Here is a 20966-nt window from a genome sequence, read left to right as displayed (position 1 = left end):
GCTGTTACATGACTGGGAGTAAGTTCTCATGAGGTCTGATGGTTTTATAAGCGTCTGGCCTTTCCCGTTTGCACTTCTCTCTCCTGCGACCATGTGAAGAATGTCCTTGCTTCCCTTTTGCCTTCTGCCATGACTGTAGGTTTCCTGAGGCCTCCTCAGCCATATGGAACTGTGAGTTAATTAAATCTCCTTTGTTTGTAAATTACCCAGTCTCTGGTATTTCTTTATAGCAGTGTGAAATTGGACTAATACACAGGCAGTCGTATTAAATATATTTCTAATGTTATTCAACCACCATGCTCATTCATCTCCATAACCTTTTTTATCTTCTAAAACTGAAACTTTCTACCCATTGAATAATAACTCCCATTTCACTGTCCCCCAGCTTCTAGCAATCATTCTACTTTCTAGCTCTATGATTTTAACTATTCTAAGTTCCTCATGTAAGAGAAATCATACAGTATTTATCTTTTGGTAATTGGTTTATTTCATTTATCATAATGTCCCCAAGATTTATCCATGTTGTTGTGTGCTGTTAACTCTTATTGTGTTTATTCTTTATTGTTTATTTTCTTTCAATACAATACATGTTTCATGTCCAGCTGGCACAGGATTGACTCCTGGTGGAACCCAACTCAGTGATCTGTGCAGTGTGGTGTTTTCCAAACTGGCCAAGGTGTCTGCAGGGCCCTCAGAATTTTCCAAGCAAGAAAAGATTTGGCTACTTGGAGAAACTTCATCCTTCTGGAGGTTTGGACTAGTGGTAAACTCCTGTGATTCTAAAGCATTCCATAGCAGAATCCACTGATGATGACAAACTGAACCTTGGTGTTCCTGGATTAGTGGGAGGTGGTGAAAGGATTCTGTGGTAGTTCAGGTGTTCACAGCTCTCTTGCTTTTGACAGAATTTCTTAAGTATTTTTTTAAAAAGAATTTAAAAATTTAAAGCGAATTACCATATCATCTAGCAATTCTACTTGTGGGTACATACCTGAAAGAAATGCAAGTAACTTATCATAGAGATATATCCACACCCCTGTTCATAGCAGCACTATTCACAATATCCAAAAAGTAGAAACATCACAAGTGACCACTGAGGAAGTAATGTGGTGCAAATATACAATGGAAGATTATTTATCCTTAAAAGAAAGTAAATTTTGACACATGCTATGCCATGAATGAAATTTAAAGATATTAATGCAAAGTGAAATAAGACAGCCACAATCATACAAAATACTATGTGACTGGCTTATCTAAGGTACCTAGAAATACACAAGTTCATAGATATAGAAAATTTCTATGGGTTGTTATATGGGGGGTAGTCAGGAATAGGAGGAAATTGAGGATGGGTAGTTACTGTTTAATGATACAAAGTTCAGTTTTGCAAGATGAAAAGAGTTCTTGAGACAGTGATGTTTGTTGCATAATAATTTGAATGTAATTATGGATGCTAAAATATACACTCTAAATGATCAATATAGTTAATTTTGTTATGTATATATTATCACAATTAATAAAATATCATTTGTGTCTTAAAAAAAGTATTACTTGTATTATCTAGACATTAAAATAGAATGAGAATACTTAGTGTTTATTGAACAAAGCTACCCTGACAACTATAGTAAAATGAAGATGCAAAAGAGCATAAGGGAAGCCATTCATGGGGCATGTATTGGTGAAAAGCTGTGCCCTCAAATACTTCACTCCTTGCAATTCCTTTTTATAGGCATCACCTCCAGAATCTACTTGAAGTGGATGACACTGACTTCCATGAACTGTTTTCCTGTGAGTAATTTCTCCATTTTAGACAGAGTTATCCATGGGAAGGTGAGTCTGATCAAGCTGCTTGACCATGATCAGAACAATTTGCTTCCCCATTGCATCATCAAACTTTAATTTAAAAAGCCCCACTTTCTGTCCGTCCCCATAGCTCCTCCCTCACCCACCAAAATGAGTCACTTGGGGCAGTGGTGGGCAGATGATTTCAGATATCCTGATCTCAATTCCCTGATGTCAGTACGTCTGCACATTCTTTGTTTTTTTTTTTTCAACTTTTAAGTTCTGGAGTACACATACAGGATATGCAGGTTTGTTACATAAGTAAACATGTGCCATCGTGGTTTGCTGCAAAGATCATAGCATTACCTAGGTATTAAGCCCAGCATCCATTAGTTATTCCTCTTGAAGCTCTCCCTCCCCCAGCTCCCTGCTCCAAGAGGCCCCAGTGTGTGTTGCTTCCCTCTAGGTGTCCATGTGTTCTCATCATCAAGCTCCCACTAATAAGTGAGAACATGTGGTATTTTGTTTTCTGTTCCTGCATTAGTTTGCTGAGGGTGATGGCTTCCAACTCCATCCATGTCCCTGCAGAGGAGATGATCTCATTCCTTTTTATGGCTGTATAGTATTCCATGGTGTGTATGTACCACATTTTCTTTATCCAGTTTATCATTGATGGGCATTTAGGTTGATTCCATATCTTCGCTATTGCGAGTAGTGCTGCAATAAACATATGCATGCATATATCTTTATAATAGAATGATATATATTCCTTTGGATATATACCTACTAATGGGATTGCTGGGTCAAATGGTATTTCTGCCTCTGGATTTTTGAAAAATCACAACACTGTCTTTCACAGTGCAAACCACCGTGAAACTAATTTACACTCCCACCAACAGTGTAAAAGTTTTCATTTTTCTCCACAATCTTGCCAGCATCTGTTGATTTTTGACTTTTTAATAATAGCCATTCTGACTGGCATGACATGGTATGTCATGTATATCATTGTCATTTTGATTTGCATTTCTCTAATAATACACTTATTATTTAGGAGCTTTTTTTCATATATTTTTTGGCCGCATGTGTATATTTTAAGAAGTGTCTGTTCATGTCCTTCGCCACTTTTTAACAGTGTTATTTGTGTTTGTCTTTTAAATTTGTTTAAGTTACATGTAGCTTCTGGATATTAGACCTTTGTCCAATAGATAGATTGCAAAAATTGTCTCCCCTTCTGTAGGTTGTCTGTTCACTCTGATGATGGTTCCGTTTGCTGTGTGGAAGCTCTTAAGTTGGATTAAATTCCAGTCGTCAATTTCTGCTTTTGTTATAATTGCTTTTGGAGATTTCATCATGAAATCTTTGCCCATACCTATGTCTTCAACGGTATTGCCTAGATTTTCTTCTAGGGTTTTTATTTTAAATTTATACTTTAAGTTCTGGGGTACATGTGCAGAATATACAGGTTTGTTACATAGGTATAAATGTGCCATGGTGGTTTGCTGCACCTATCAACCCATCATCTATATTAGGTATTTCTCCTAATGCTCTCCCTCCTCTAGCCCCCGCTGTGTGTGATATGCCCCTCCCTGTGTCTATGTGTTTTCATTTTTCAACTCCCACTTATGAGTGAGAACATGTGGTGTTTGGTTTTCTGTTCCTGTGTTAGTTTGCTGAGAGTGATGGTTTCCAGCTTCATCATGTCCCTGCAAAGGACATGAACTCATCCTTTTTTATGGCTGCATAGTATTCCATGGCATATATGTGCCACATTTTCTTTATCCATTCTATCATTGATGGGCATTTGGGTTGGTTCCAAGTCTTTGCGATTGTGAATGGTGCCACAATAAAAATATATGTGTGTGTGTGTGTGTGTGTGTGTGTGTGTCTTTATCGGAGAATGATTTATAATCCTTTGGGTGTATACCCAGTAATGAGATTACTGGGTCAAATGGTATTTCTATGACCAGTGATGATGAGCTTTTTTTCATATGTTTGTTGGCTGTATAAATGTCCTCTTTTGAGAAGTGTCTGTTCTGATGGGGTTGTTCGTTGCTTGTAAATTTGCTTAAGTTCCTTGTAGATTCTGGATATTAGCCCTTTGTCAGATGGATAGATTGAAAAAATTTTCTCCCATTCTGTTTGTTGCCTGTTCACTCTGATGATAGTTTCTTTTGCTACATAGAAGCTCTTTAGTTTAATTAGACTCCATTTGTCAATTTTGGCTTTTGTTGCCATTGCTTTTGGTGTTTTCTCATGAAGTCCTTGCCCATGCCTATGTCCTGAATGGTATTGCCTAGATTTTCTTCTGTGGTTTTTAGGGTTTTAGGTCTTAAGTCCTTAATCCATCTTGAGTTAATTTTTGTATAAGGTATATGGAAGGAGTCCACTTTCAGTTTTCTGCATATGGCTAGCCAGATTTCCCAACACCATTTATTAAATAGGGTATGCTTTCCCCATTGCTTGTTTTTGTCAGGTTTGTCAAAGATCAGATGGTTGTAGATGTGTGGTGTTATTTCTGAGGCCTCTGTTCTGTTTCATTGGTCTATATATCTGTTTTGGTACCAGTACCATGCTGTTTTGGTTACTGTAGACTTGTAGTATAGTTTGAAGTCAGGTAGAGTGATGCCTCCAGCTTTGCTCATTTTGCTTAGGATTGTCTTGACTATGCAGGCCAAGACATACATTTCATATGGAATTTAAAGTAGTTTTTCCCAATTCTGTGAAGAAGGTCAATGATAGCTTGATGGGAATGGAATGGAATCAATAAATTACTTTGGGCAGTTTGGCCATTTTCACGATATTGATTCTTCCTATCCATGAGCATGGAATGTTTTTCCATTTGCTTGTGTCTTCTCTTATTTCCTTGAGCAGCTCTTAGCAGTCGTCCTTGAAGAGGTCCTTCACATCTCTTGTAAGTTGTATTCCTAGGTTTTTAATTCTCTTTGTAGCAATTGTGAATGGGAGTTCACTCATGATTTGGCTCTCTGTTTGTCTGTTATTGGCATGTAGGAATGCTTGTGATTTTTGCACATTGATTTTTTATCCTGAGAATTTGCTGAAGTTGCTTATCAGCTGAGGACACTTTGGGCTGATACGATGGGGTTTTCTAAATATACAATCATGTCATCTGCAAACAGAGACGATTTGACTTCCTCTCTTCCTATTTGAATACCCTTTATTTCTTTCTCCTGCCTGATTGCCCTGGCCAGAACTTCCAAAACTATGTTGAATAGGAGTGGTGAGAGAGGGCATCCTTGTCTTGTGCTGGTTTTCAAAGGGAATGCTTCCAGTTTTTGCCCATTTGATATGATATTGACTGTGGGTTTGTCATAAGTAGCTCTTATTATTTTGAGATACGTTCCATCAGTACTTAGTTTATTGAGAGTTTTTAGCATGAAGAGGTGTTGAATCTTGTCAAAGGACTTTTTTACATCTATCGAAATAATCATGTGGTTTTTGTCACTGGTTCTGTTTATGTGATGGATTACATTTATTGAATTGTGTATGTTGAACCAGCCTTGCATCCCTGGTATGAAGCCGACTTGATCATGGTAGATAAGCTTTTTGATGTGCTGCTGGATTCGGTTTGCCAGTATTTTATTGAGGATTTTCGCATTGATGTTCATCCAGGATTTTGTCCTGAAAACTTTTTTTCTTGTTTCTCTGACAGGTTTTGATATCAGGATAATGCTGGCTTCATAAAATGAGTTAGGGAGGTTTCCCTCTTTTTCTACTGTTTGGAATAGTTTCAGAAGGAATGGTATCAGCTCCTCTTTGTACTTCTGGTAGAATTCGGCTGTGAATCAGTCTGTTCCTGGACTTTTTTTGGTTGAAAGGTTATTAATTACTGCCTCAATTTCACAACCTATTATTTGTCTATTCAGGGATTTGACTTCTTCCTGGTTTAGACTGGGAGGGTGTATGTGTCCAGGAATTTATCCATTTCTTCTAGATTTTCTAGTTTATTCATGTAGAGGTGTTTATAGTATTCTCTGATGGTAGTTTGTATTTCTGTGGGATCAGTGGTGATATCCCCTTTATCATTTTTTATTGTGTCTATTTGATTCTTCTCTCTCTTCTTCTTTATTACTCTGGCTAGCGGTCTATCTATTTTGTTGATCTCAAAAAAACAGGTTCTAGATTCATTTATTTTTGGAGGGTTTTTTGTGCCTCTATCTCCTTCAGTTCTGCTCTGATCTTAGTTATTGTCTTCTGCTAACTTTTGAATTTCTTTGCTGTTGCTTCTATAGTTCTGTTAATTGTGATGTTAGGGTGTCAATTTTATATCTTTCCTGCTTTCTTTTGTGGGCATTTACTGCTATAAATTTCCCTCTACACACTGCTTGAAATGTGTCCCAGAGATTCTGGTACATTGTGTCTTTGTTCTGATTGGTTTGAAAGAATGTCTTTATTTCTGCCTTAATTTCATTATTTACCCAGTAGTCATGCAGGTTGTTCAGTTTCCATGTAGTTGTGCAATTTTGAGTGAGTTTCTTAATTCAGAGTTCTAATTTGATTTCACTGTGGTCTGAGAGAATGTTTGTTATGATTTCCATTCTTTTGCATTTGCTGAGGAGTGTTTTACTTCCCATTATGTGGTTGATTTTAGAATAAGTGCAATGAGGTGCTAAGAAGAATGTATATTCTGTTGATTTGGGGTGGAGAGTTCCATAGATGTCTATTAGGTCTACTTGGTCCAGAGCTAAGTTCAAGTCCTGAATATCCTTGTTAATTTTCTGTCTTGTTGATCTGTCTAATATTGACAGTATGGTGTTAAAATCTCCCACTATTATTGTGTGGGAGTCTGTGTTTCTTTGTAGGTCTCTAAGAACTTGCTTTATGAATCTGGGTGCTCCTGTATTGGGTGCTTATATATTTAGGATTGTTAGCTCTTCTTGTTGAATTGATCCCTTTACCATTATATAATGGCCTTCTTTGTCTCTTTTGATCTTTGTTGGTTTAAAGTCTGTTTTATCAGAGACTAGGATTGCAACCCCTGCTTTTTTTTGCTTTCCATTTGCTTGGTAAATATTCCCCGATCCCTTTATTTTTAGCCTATGTGTGTCTTTTTCACATGAGATGGTTCTCTGAATACAGCACACAGATGTGTCTTGACTCTTTATCCAATTTGCCAGCCTGGTGGTGATGACAAAATCTCTCAGCATTTGTTTGTCTGTAAAGGCTTTTATTTCTCCTTCACTTATGAAGCTTAGTTTGGCTGGATATGAAATTCTGGGTTGAAAATTCTTTTCTTTAAGAATGTTGAATATTGGCCCCCCTCTCCTCTGGCTTGTAGGGTTTCTGCAGAGAGATCCACTGTAAGTCTGCTGGGCTTCCCTTTGTGGATAAACCAGACTTTCTCTCTGGCTGTCCTTAATATTTTTTCTTTCATTTCAACCTTGGTGAATCTGACAATTATGTGTCTTGGGGTTGCTCTTCTCAAGGAGTATCTTTGTGGTGTTCTCTGTATTTCCTGAATTTGAATGTTGGGCTTTCCTGCTAGGTTGGGGGAATTCTCCTGGATAATATCCTGAAGAGTGCTTTCCAACTTGGTTTCATCACTCCATCACTTTCAGGTACAGCAATGAAATGTAGATTTGGTGTTTTCACATAGTCTCATATTTCTTGGAGGCTTTCTTCATTCCTTTTTATTTTTTTCCTCTAACCTTGTCTTGTCACTTTATTTTATTAAGTTGATATTCAATCTCTGATATCCTTTCTTCCACTTGATTGGTTTGGGTATTGATACTTGCGTATGCTTCACGAAGTTCTTGTGCTGTGTTTTTCAGCCCCATCAGGTCATTTATGTTCTTCTCTAAATTGGTTATTCTAGTTAGCAATTTGTCTAACCTTTTCTCAAGGTTCTTAGCTTCCTTGCATCGGGTTAGAACATGCTCCTTTAGCTGAGAGGAGTTTGTTATTACCCATCTTCTGAAGTCTGTCAATTCATCAAACTCATTCTCCATCCAGTTTTGTCCCCTTGCTGGTGAGGAGTTGTGATCCTTTGGAAGAGAAGAGGCATTCTGGTTTTTGGAATTTTCAGGCTTTTTGCACTGGGTTCTCCCCATCTTTGTGGATTTATCTACCTTTGGTCTTTGATGTTAGTGATCTTCCGATGGGGTCTCTGACTGAACGTGCTATTCCTTTTTGCTTGTTAGTATTCCTTCTAACAGGCCCTTCTGCTGCAGGTCTGCTGGTGTTTGCTGGAGGTCCACTCCAGACCCTGTTTTCCTGGGTATCACCGGCAGCGGCTGCAGAACAGCAAAGATTGCTGCCTGTTCTTTCCTCTGGAAGCTTTGTCCGAGAGGGGCACCTGCCAGATGCCAGCCAGAGCTCTCCTATATGAGGTGTATGTTAGGCCCTACTGGGAGGTGTCTTCCTGTCAGGATACACGGGGGTGAGCGACCCACTTGAGGAGGCAGTCTGACCCTTAGCAGAGCTTGAACACTGTGCCAGGACATCTGCTGCTGTCTTCAGAGCCATCAGGCAGGGACATTTAACTCTGCTGAAGTTGTGCCCACAGCCACCCCTTCCCCCCAGGTACTCTGTCAGCCCCTGACTTCGACTGCTGCCTTATTTTCAGAGATGCCCTGCCCAGAGAGAAGGAATCTAGAGAGGCAGTCTGGCCACAGTGGACTTGCTGAGCTGTGGTGGGCTCCGCCCATTTCTAACTTCCCAGTGGCTTTCTTTACACTGTGAGGGTAAAACTGCCTACCCATGCTTCACCAATGGCAGACATCCCTCCCCTCACCAAACTTGAGCTTCCCAGGTCAACCTCAGACTGCTGTGCCTACAGCGAGAATTTCATGCCAGTGGATCTTAGCTTGCTAGGCTCCATTCAAGTGGGACCCACCAAGCTATACCACTTGGCTCCCTGGCTTCAGTCCCCTTTCCAGGGGAGTGAATGGTTCTGTCTCAGTGGCATTCCAGGTGCCACCGTGTTATGAAAAAAAACTGCGGCTAGCTCAGTGTCTGCCCAAACGGCTGCCCACTTTTGTGCTTGAAATCCAGGGTCCTGGTGGTGTAGGCACTGGAGGGAATCTCCTGGCCTGGGGGTTGTGAAGACCATGGGGAAAACAGTATCTGGGTCGGAGTGCATCATTCCTCATGGCGCAGTCCCTCATGGCTCCCTTTGGGTAGGGGTGAGAATTCCCCGACGTTTTGCACTTCAAGGGTGAGGCGATGTCCCACCCTGCTTCTGCTCTCCCTCCATGGGCTGCACCCACTGTCCAACCAGTCCCATTGAGATGAACCAGGTGCCTCAGTTGGAAATGCAGAAATCACCACCTTCTGTGTCAGTCTCGCTGGGAGCTGCAGACTGGAGCTCTTCCTATTCAGCCATCTTGCCAGAAGTCCTCCATTTTTTTACATTGGTAGAGTATAACCCTCATTGACAAAATCAACCTTCTGTCAGAATAACACCTCATTCTCTGAGGCAAATGTACTTGTAACAGGCATAATAGAGCATCTGGCATGTTAGAAGTGTTGTAGATCTTGATGTGAATGGTGTTTATGAAAGTTTATACACGTGTAAATATTCATTAATGTTTATACTTAATATGATTGCTCTTAACTGCATTTATTTTATATTTCAACAGAGCAAAAGAAAACATGAAAGAACTAGATATGCAAAAAAATAAAATGACATACCAAGTATAGTGGTGCATGCCTGTAGCCCTAGCTTCTTGGGAAGCTGAGATGGGAGCATTGCTTCTGCTTAGGCATTTGAGTTATGCCTGGGTAACATAGGGAGACCCCATGTCTAAATAGAAATAAAAACAAGACACATAGAGAAGTTTGAGAATAAAATATAGACAACAGAATAAAACCCCACATTAACATAAATCTTGGAATTCTCTGAAAGTTGTATAACAGTAAATGTTACTACATATATATAGAAATAAATTCAAAGGTAAATAATACCAGCATAACAATATAAAATATTTTAAAATATTAAATGAACATTTTGCAACTAAAAATACACTAACTATAGCGAATTGCTTAATGAATGGGTTTAATACCAGATATTTCATAGCTAAATAATTCATAAATTGGAAAATAAATGAGAAAACAACATACAGTCTTAAGAAAAAAATATAGAGAAAAGGCAATGAAGAAGCTTATAGAGCTTAGGTTGAAATTAGACTTCCCAAGGAGAGATAAGATAGAATGGAGAAGAAGCTATTGAACAGATAAACACCTGGAATTTTTCAGAGCAGATTAAAGATATTGGGTTACATATTGGAGGAGAACTATGAGCCTGAAACCAGATATAAGAAAACATGTTTAGGCAGAAAATATTCAAAAGACTATAAAACACATATTAAAGAAAGTTCCTAAAAATTGAAAGAGAACAAAATGCATTTCCTTTCAAAGTAACAATACTATTGCTAACTTCTAAATAAAAGCAATGAAATTCAGAAGATGATAGAATAATATCATCTAAATGCTAAAAGGAAATAACTGCCAGTCTATAATACTTTATCCAGCAAAAAAAATTCTTTAATGATGAAGAAAAGAAAACCAGACAGGACTTCGATAAGAAAATACAGGACTTGAACAATACTATAATCAGTTGGACCTAACAGACACATGCAAAGCACTCCACACAACAGTAACAAAAAACCACATTTTTCTCAATGCATATGGAAACTTCTCCAAGATGCAACATATGTTAGTAATATATGAGTTTTAAAAAGTTATTTAGGCAGATAGTGAGAGCACAGGAGTCCTCAGTAAGGTTTTCCTTTTAATGAAAAGCAGCCCAAAATACTTTCTTTTCCTACAAATAGCAGACTGTAAAATGACTTGCAGACATAGAGAAACAAGCTGGAAGCTTGCACTGGTGAATGCCATCAGTTGTGCTAATAAGAAAAGGCTGCCTGGGACTGGGCACATTCAAAATGTCAGTTCCATCTTCCCTTCTCTTTGCCAGCCACATGTACAGTAAGGAGCAGGGAACATGGCATTAGTCAAGCAAAGATCCCATTTGCATAATAAGACGATTAGGATGGGATGGCCAGCTTCCCCATGCACTATGTAAACCTCACCCCTGGTCCAACCAATCTGTGGGCTCTATGTAAATTAGACACTGCTTCCTCAAGCCTGTCTGTAAAATCTGGTTCACTCTGCCATGGGGCAGAATTCTTATTTGGACGCCCCCTCTCTCACAAGAGAGAGAGCTATTCTCCTTTCTCTTTCTTTGGAAATAAAACTTCTACTCCTAAACTCACTCCTTGTGTGTGTCCATGCCCTTAGACTTCTTGTTGCAAGACGATGAACCTCAGGTATTTACCTTAGACAACAATGCATCTTCATACTGGGGGTGTGTCCAGGATCCCAAGGTACTTTCATTGGAATGTTGAATACAGGAGTGAAACTCAACTCTGTCCTTTCATTTCAAGGCTCTCAGCCTCCATTTTAGAATCAAATCATACCAAATACTGGGCTCCCTTCAGTCATTTAAAAATAATTAGCATGGCTGCCAGCTTTACAAGACATGGGGGAGAGGCTTGCTGGGGAAAACATGTAGAATCCCCCAGTACCCACACGTTGCTGGGCATATTGGCCATGTTTGAACCAGTTTTCTTTCAGAGGACCTAGCAATTGAATGGGGCTGGAAAAAGTTCTGAAGCAACTGAGGATTTCTGGCGGAAGCTACTCCCTGGTGTTGTTCAAAGGATTTGGACTGACCTCATCCTCTGACTGCCTGACAGAGTGTCAGCAACAGGATCTCCAGCTTTCATACTATAATTTCCTCCATTCCTGTCTGCAACCACCATGTCTCCCATCCTCTCTCTCTTTGTATGCAATGCCACAGCAATTTTACAGTTCAGGGAAGTAATCTTGTTAGGTAAGATCAGGAAATGCCATAGTAACTGAAGGTGTAGCTCAAGGGAATGCCGTTGTAATTTTCTAGGAATAGAGGGTCCCTCATCACAGTGAAGTCACTCTCTGCCCTTGGTCTGGAGAGCATATGGCATTTCCAGGTAACACTCTACCCTTGTCTGGAGAGCACATGGCATTTGAAGTTCACTCTCTGCCCTTGGTATGGAGAGCACATGACATGTCATGGTCACCCTGTGCCCTTAGTCTAGAGATCACATGGCATTTCAAGGTCAACAGCGCCACCTAGTGGGATGGGAATTCTCTCCATGAAGCACATTGTTGGTCCTCTGCCAAAACACTCTAGCCTCCAAATTCTCCTCCCTTTTTGTGCCCCTCTGCTAGAGACCAGGCTTCATGCTGCTTCTGTGAACAGGAAAACTCTGCCTTCAACAACAATTAGGAGTAAAATGTCCTCCAAAGACAAAGTTGTTTAGTTTCGATACTGTCCCATCAACTAGAAAACTGCCATTTGGTCCCTATGTTCTTTTAAGGCACCTATTCTGCCTCCAATTAAAATGGTACTGAAATAGTAAGGGGATTTTTTTTCTTTTTCTTTTTTAATTAAATTAATTATACTTTAAATTCTAGGGTACATGTGCACAACGTGCAGGTTTGTTACATATGTATACATGTGCCATGTTGGTGTGCTGCACCCATTAACTCGTCATTTACATTAGGTATATTTCCTAATGCTATCCCTCTCCCCTACCCCCACCCCATGACAGGCCCCAGTGTGTGATGTTCCCCTTCCTGTTCCAAGTGTTCTCACTGTTCAATTCCCACCTATGACTGAGAACATGTGGTGTTGGGTTTTTTGTTCTTGTGATTGATAGTTTGCTGAGAATGATGGTTTCCAGCTTCATCCATGTCACTACAAAGGACATGAACTCATCCTTTTTTATGGCTGCATAGTATTCCATGGTGTCTATGTGCCACATTTTCTTACTCCAGTCTATCATTGATGGACATTTGGGTTTGTTCCAAGTCTTTGCTATTGTAAATATACGTGTGCATGTGCCTTTATAGCAGCATAATTTATAATCCTTTGGGTATACGCCCAGTAGTGGAATGGCTGGGTCAAATGATATTTCTAGTTCTAGATCCTTTCTGCACAGCAAAAGAAACTACCATCAGAGTGAACAGGCAACCTACAGAATGGGAGAAAATTTTTGCAACCCTCTTGTCTGACAAAGGGCTAATATCCAGGATCTACAGAGAACTCAAACAAATTTACAAGAAAAAAAACAAACAACCCCATCAACAAGTGGGCAAAGGATACGAACAGACACTTCTCAAAAGAAGACATTTATGCAGCCAACAGACACATGAAAAAATGCTCATCATCACTGGCCATCAGAGAAATGCAAACCAAAACCACAGTGAGATACCATCTCACACCAGTTAGAATGGCAATCAGCAAGGGGATTTCAAGTTTGGAAGTTAATTGGAACCATTCTCTAAGGGTAAACGCTTTAACATGGGCCATAATAAGCAGGATATAGAGTTCAATCTAGCATGCACTATCCATTAAAGGAGCCTTGCTCAAATGCAAATATTATAGTTTTTCCCAAGATCCATCCTTCTAGGAGCCACAGAGGCCACATAAGTCTAGGAAGTCAAAGGGAAATCACAAGTGGAGGACTAGAGTCACATGGGTAAGCATGACTAATCTCAATTGCTTAGTTCCTCTGGTCCTGTATTTTTAAATGGCTGCAGGGTTGCAAGAATGCAGCCATGGGCAGCACATTAAATAAGGTGCTGGTACTCAGGAGCCAAGGAGGGAAATCAGTAGGTGGAGCATGCCACCACTGTCTTCCCCTCCACCCTAGGTCACACCAATAGGAAGGAGACTAAAGGGACATCTTTTTCATGCTTCCATTTCTAGATGAGTAACAGATCATCTTCGGCCTGTAGTCCTCTGGAGTGCATTTGAAAACACTGGGACTCTTTTTACCCTGAGATATGAAGAAAAGTGGCTTTTTTTTTCCCACAAAGGTGTGGCCTTCTTACCCACTTGAAACAGCCTAAACTGTGGAAGGAAGCTTTAATTTAAATTGTGTCCAAGAATTAGATCTTTTCTCCATATGGGAGGGAAAATGGCCCAAGGTCCATTATATACAAGATTTCTTTGCCCTATGAGAAAACCCAGACCTTTGCAAGCATTGCACAATTCACCCAGCCCTTCTAGCAATCATATCAGGAAGGCCCAAAGGGAATGATTCCCCAAGACTAGAAAAGCAACTTCCAGAGTGTATTAGTCTGTTTTTCACACTGCTGATAAAGATGATATACCCAAGACTAGGCAATTTACAAAAGAAAGAAAGAGGTTTAATTGGACTCACAGTTTCACATGGCTTGGGAGACCTCACAATCATGGTGGAAGGCAAGGAGGAGCAAGTCATATCTTACATGGATGGTGTCAGGCAAAGAGAAGAACATGTGCAGGGAAATTCCTCTTTTTAAAACTATCAGATCTCATGACACTTATTCACTATGACAAGAACAGCACAGGAACAACCTGCCCCCATGATTCAATTACCTCCCAGCAGGTCCCTCCCACAATACATGTGAATTCAAGATGAAATTTGTGTGGGGACACAGCCGAACCATATAATTCCACCACTGGTCCCTCCCAAATCTCCTGTCCTAACATTTCAAAACCAATGATGCCTTCCCAACAGTCCCCCAGAGTCTTAACTCATTTTAACATTAACTCAAAAGTACATAGTCCAAAGTCTGAAGTCTCATCTAAAACAAGGCAAGTCCCTTCTGCCTATGAGCCTGTAAAATTGAAAGCAAGTTAGTTACTTCCTAGATACAATGGGGGTACAGGCATTTCATAAATACAGCCATTCCAAATGGGAAACATTGACCTAAACAAATGGGCTTCAGGCTGCGGGGAAGTCTGAAGTCCAGTGGGGCAATCAAATCTTAAAGCTTCAAAATGATCTCCTTTGACTCCATGTCTCACATCCAGGTCACACTGATGCAAGAAGTGGGTTCACAAGATCTTGGTCAGCTCCACCCATGTGTCTTTGCAGAGTAAAGCCTCCTTTCTGGCTGCCTTAATTGGCTGAAGTTGAGTGACCATGAATTTTCCAGGTGCATGGTGCAAGCTGTTGGTGAATCTACCACTCTAGGGTCTGAAGGACAGTGGCCCTCTTCTCACAGCTCCACTAGGCAGTGCCCCAGTAGGGATACTGTTTGGGGGCTCCAACCCTACATTTGTCTTCTGCACTGCCCTAGCAGAGGTTCTCCATGACAGCCCCATCTCTGCAGCAAACTTCTGCCTGGACATCCAAGCATTTCCATACATCTTCTGAAATTTAGGTGGAGGTTCCCAAACTCCAGTTCTTGACTTCTGTGCACTGGCAGGCTCAACATAATGTGGACAAGGCTTGAGGCTTACACCCTCTGAAGCCACAGCTTGAGTTCTTTATTGGTCCCATTCAGCCATGGCTGTAGTGGCCAGGATGCAGGGCACCAGTCCCTAAGCTGCATAAAGCATGGGGACCTCAAGCCCAGCCCACAAAACCACTTTTTCTTTGTAGGACTCTGGACTTGTGTCAAGAAGGGCTGCTGTGAAGGCCTCTGAAATGCTCTAGAGACATTTTCCCCATTGTTTTGGGGATTAACTTTTGACTTCTCATTACTTATGTAAATTTATGCTGCTGGATTGGATTTCTCCTCAGAAAATAGGATTTTCTTTTCTATTGCATTGTCAGGCTACAAATTTTCTGAACTTTTATGCTCTATTTCCCTTTTAAAACTTAATGCCTTTAACAGCACCCAAGTCACCTCTTGAATGCTTTGCTGCTTAGAAATTTCTTTTGCCAGATAACTTAAATTCTCTCTCTCAGGTTCAAAGTTTCATGAATATCTAGGGTAGAGGCAAAAAGCTGCCAGTCTCTTTGCTAAAACATAACAAGAGTCACCTTTGTTCCAGTTCCCAAGAAGTTTATCTCCATCTGAGACTACCTCAGCCTGGGCCTTATTGTTCATATCACTATCAGCATTTTTGTTAAAGCCATTCAACAAGTCTCTGGAAGGTTTCAAACTTTCCCACATTTTCCTGTCTTCTTCTGAGTCCTCCAAACTGTTCTAACCTCTGCCTGTTACCCAGTTTCAAAGTTGCTTTCACATTTTGGGGTATCTTTTCTGTAGTGCCCCACTCTACTGGTACTAATTTACTGAATTAGTCCATTTTCACACTGCTGATAAAGACATACTTGAGACTGGGAAGAAAAAGAGATTTTAATGGAATTACAGTTCCACGTGGTGGGGGAGGCCTCACAATCATGGAAGAAGGCTAGGAGGAGCAACAGGCCAAAAAGGCTTGTGCAGAGAAACTCCCATTTTTAAAACCATCAGATCTCGTGAGACTTATTCACTATCACAAGAACAGCACAGGAAACACCTGACCCTATGATTCAATTACCTTTCACCAGGTCCCTCTCATAACACCTGGGAATTCAGGATGAGATTTGGGTGGGGACACAGCCAAACCATATCATGGAGAAATCATCTATTGAGTGTTACAGCCCTTCCAATCCCCCTTACCTGGGGCAACCTCCCACTGCACCACCAGGTGCTCTACCCCCACCACCTTAAAAACTCCCCATTTCTGCACCTTCACACTTATGCCTACAGGTAATGCCCAACAGAGGTGATGCCACAAGGGTTCAAGCTCCCTTCTTATTGCAGGACCTTAGGCAAATAAAGGGAGACTTAGGCAGATTTTTTATGACACTGTTAGGTATATAGAAGCTTTCCAAAACCTAACTCAGGTGTTTGACCTCTTGTGGAGGGATGTTATGCTGCTCCTAATCCAAACCCTAACCACAGTGAAAAGCAGGAAGCTCTGCAGGCAACAGAGAAATTACGAGATGAGCAGTATGTCTTCTATAGTAGGCCAAAAAGGAAAAGAGAAAATAAATAGGGAAGGTGAAGAAATAGGGGAAAAGCCATTCCCAATAAGAAGAGGGGCAATACCTCTTGACAACCTTAATTGGAACTTCAGTGACACCACAGATGAATGAAAAAGAAAACAGTTTCTAATGTGCATATTGGAGGGCCTAGAAAGAATTAGGGCCAAAGATCTTAATTACTCCAAACTGTCTATGATAGACCAAAAGCCAGATGAGAATCCCACAGCCTTTATGGAAAGACAGACAGGCACTAATAAAACACACCTCCTTATTCCCCAATTCAGTTGAGGGACAGCTCATCCTGAAGGACAAGTTTATTACACAGGAAGATCCTGATATTAGAAGGAAACTACAGAGGCAGGTTATAGGACCAGATAGCACCTTGAAGAACCTCCTGAGGGTGGCCACCATTGTCTTTTATTATAGGGACCAGAAGGAGGTCCAGGAGAAAGAGAGGAAGTAAAAGAGAAGAACAGAGGCTCTAGTAACTGCTTTGCAAACTTGCAAAGTCCAGAATCCCTGAGGTGCATCCATTAGTTGCTATCAGTGCAGCAAGTCAGGGCACTTTAAGGAGTGCCCAGGCAGCAAGAAGAAACCACCATGACCCTGTCCAGAATGTGATGGGGATCACTGGAAATTGGATTGTCCCTGGAGATAAAGGTCACTGGGTTCAGAACCAATCTCACAGGTGATCCAACTGGGCTGATATGTCCTGGGGCTCAAACCTCTGGCTCCAGGAGCTCAAATGCCACTACAGCACAGGAGCCCCAGGTGATTCTGGAAATTGAAGGAAGAAAGGTAGACCTCCTTCTGGACACTACAGCAAGCCTCTCTCTTCTTCTTTCTAATCCAGGCCTCCCATCTTCCCATAACTGTGAGGGGCACCTCAGAAAAAACTCTAATCTGTTATTTTTCTTAACCCCTTAGTTGCAGTTGGGGGGAACCTATTAGTTACACATGCCTTTTCAATCACACCTGAAAGTCCCACTCCTTTATTAGGTAGAGACATTTTGGTTCACATGGGGGACAAACTCTTTGTCTCCCCCTGGTAGAAGCTAATATCAATCCAGAAGTGTGAGCAACAAGGAAGAGTAGGTTGAGCAGTAACCACTAGGCCAGTCCAGATCCATCTTAATGATCCCACTTATTTTCCCAACCAAAGACAATACCCCCTAAAGCCAGAGGCTAGGAAAGGGCTAGAAGCCATTATTAAAAACCTGAAGATGCAGGACCTTTTCAAACACTGTAACAGCCCCTGCAACACCCCAATATTAGGAAGGCAAAATCCCAATGGGGAATGGAGACTACTTCAGGACCTCTGCCTCATTAATGAGGTGGTAGTCCCAATTTATCCAGTAATACCTATTCCCTAATACTGTGCTGACCCAAATACCTCAGGGAACTAAATGATTTGCAGTCCTAGGTTTAAAGGATGCCTTTTCTGTATACCATCACATCCTGACTCTCAATACCTGCTTGTCTTTGAAGATCCCTCTGGCCAAATTGCCCAGTTAACATGGATAGCGCTGCTTAGGGATTTTGAGACAATCCTCTTTTGTTTGGACAGGCTCTATCAAAAGACCTCTCTGAGGTTTTCCATCCTCAGGTCAGGGTCTTGCAATATGTGGATGATATACCACTCTGTGCCCCACCTGAGGAAGCTTCCCAGGAAAGCACTGAAGTTCTTAATTTATTAACTAACAGAAGATATAAGGTTTCAAAATATAAGGCCCAGCTTTGCAAAATCTCAGTGAAGTACTTGGATGTAGTTCTGTCTGAAGGGACCAGAGCATTAGGGGAAGAAAGGATTAAGCCCATTTTTTCCTTTTCCCTCCTCAAAACCCTAAAGCAACTAAGAAGATTTTTGGGCATTACAGGATTTTGCAGGCTATGGATACCTGGGTATGGTGAGATAGCTTATCCTCTATATCACCTCATAAAGAAACTCAAGTGGCTAAAACTCCTCTCTTAATCTGGGAACCTGAAGCTCAAAAGGCCTTTAACCAGTTACAACAAGGCTTGCTTAAGGCACCAACCCTCAGTCTTTTCATAGGGCCTTCAATCTGTATGTATCAGAAAGGAAGGGAATGGCCCTGGGAGTTTTAATGCATGCCTGAGGACAGCTCAACAGCCAGAGATTTATCTGAGTGAGAAATTTAATTTGGTGGCTAAAGGATAGCCAGCATGCCTCTGAGATATTGCCATGGTGGCCCTACTGGTCCCAGAAGCCTCCAAATTAATCCTGGGAAAGGATTTAACTGTTTACACCCCACATAATGTGGCAGGATTACTCTCCTCCAGGGAACATTTAGCTAACAGATAGCCAGCTCCTTAAATATCAAGCTGTCTTGTTAGAGGGTTCCACCATCCAGGTAAAAACTTGCTCTTGCCTAAACCCAGCCACTTTTCTCCCTGAGGAAACAGGGAAACCTGAGCATGACTTAAACAGGTTGTGGTACAGACCTATGCAGCCAGGGAGGATCTCAGAGAAACTTTCCTAGAAAATCCAGACCGGACCCTCTTTATGGATGGAAACTCCTTTGTGGAGCAAGGAGTCCATAAGGTGGGATATGCAATAATCACTCTGAATTATGCAATTGAAAGTGCATCTCTTGCTTCAGGCCTAAGCACTCAACTAGTTGAACTGAAAGCCCTTATAAGAGCACTTGAATTAAGTAAGGGAAAGGTAGCTAACATTTACACTCACATCAAGTATGCTTTCTTAGTTATCCATCATGCTCATGCTGCCATTTGGAAGGAAGGACACTTTTGTACTGCCAATAGATCCCCTATAAAATACCAACAGGAAATTAACAGTTTTCCTTCCACAAGAGTTTGCAGAGATGCATTGTAAGGGACATAAGAAAGGAGTAGATAAAATACCCAGTGGAAACATGTTAGCTGATCAGGCAGCCAAGTCAGCAGCAAGGAAGCCTCAGGACATCAGCACACTTCAAGGCCCTTTAATCTGGGAAGGCTTCATAATAAATTAAACCTCAGTACTCCCCTGCAGAAATGGAATGGGGCACTTCTTTAGGGTACACTCTCCAGTCCTCAGAATGGCTACAATCAGGATGGCAAGCTCCATTTGCCAGCCTCCAGCCAATGGAAAATCCTTAAACTCCTTCACCAAGCTTTTCACTTGGGAAAGGATAAAATTTATCACTGTTTCCAGAGATTGTTTTCAGGAAAGAGCTTATTAAGAACAGTCAAACAGGATGTTAATTGTTGTAAAGTCTGTCTTAAAAATAATTCCCTCAACAGATGGCTCCTTCCTTCTCAAATCCAAAGGATGGGAAACTACCCAGGGGAGGACTGGCAAATTGACTTCACCTACATGCCAAAGATGAAGGGCATCCAATACCTCCTGGTATTGGTAGATATTTCCACTAACTAGGTAGAAGCACTTCCATGCCATACAGAAAAATCCTGAGGTAATAAAAGTGTTAATTAATGAAATTATTCCTTGTTTTGTCTACCTAAGTACCTCTAAGTGACAACAGCCCCTCATTTAAGGCAGCAGTCACACAGGGCATCTCAAAGGCACTAGACATACAGTATAATCTCCATTGTGCTTGGAGACCTCAGTCCTCAGGAAAGGTAGAGAAGACAAGTGATATCATCAAAAGACATCTCAGGAAACTGTCTCATGAAACCCACCTTCCTTGGGTCACTATTCTTCCCATGGCTTTACTGTGAAAATTAACTCAACTAGCAGAAGCCCAACCGCAAGAAACAGGACCACCTTTATTTAACTCAGAAGATTTGGTGTTGGTAAAAGCTCTCCCTTCCCTCTCTACTTCCCTATGCCTAATCTAGGAAGGGCCCTGAATTGCTCTTCTTTCAATCCCCTCCACAGTAGAAGTTACAGATATCAGCTCCTGGATACATCATACTAAAGTCAAAGCCTGGAAAACCAAGAGAGCAACCCCTGACAACCTAGAGGAATGTCCTGGAGATTAATGTGAAGAACTAGGAGATTTCAAGCTGAAAATCATAAAAGATAAGTAAATGAGTAAGGGCTACTCATCCTACTTAGTCCCATGTTTACCTTACCAGATACATTTAGTCATTTCTACTTTTCCTCTTGAGAGTCACTACCAGGTTTTAAAACATATTTTGATGCATACTTGCAGGGAGATTTTTAATTATTCATGAAATTGCATTTGTAACTTCATAGACACCCAAAGGGAAATGTTATGTCTTGGTGAGTAAAATTTTAAATGTAAATTATCTACTACACCACACTTTCAGGAATTGCTGTACTTGCTCTACTATTTGCAGTGTGACTATATACTGTAGCACCTTCTAACTAGAAAATCAGACAGTTTCTATTGTTGTAGTATTTTGCTTAATTATTATCCTTATAGC

General features: G+C 40.9%; 1 long non-coding RNA gene across 1 annotated transcript in view; it reads left to right on the top strand.

The window, feature by feature from the left end:
• LOC107984257 (uncharacterized) overlaps window positions 1–20966 on the top strand; it is a 125247-nt gene that overhangs the window by 83758 nt on the left and 20523 nt on the right. The window contains exon 7 of the long non-coding RNA XR_007062253.1: window positions 603–20802. This is a non-coding gene — a long non-coding RNA (uncharacterized LOC107984257). The remainder of the gene's footprint in view (window positions 1–602; window positions 20803–20966) is intronic.

This window comes from Homo sapiens, chromosome 10 (assembly GCF_000001405.40).
Source record: "Homo sapiens chromosome 10, GRCh38.p14 Primary Assembly".
NCBI classification, from domain to species: Eukaryota; Metazoa; Chordata; class Mammalia; order Primates; family Hominidae; genus Homo; species Homo sapiens.
The sequence above is the reverse complement of the archived record's forward strand: the minus strand, read 5'-3'. Positions and strand labels throughout refer to the sequence as shown.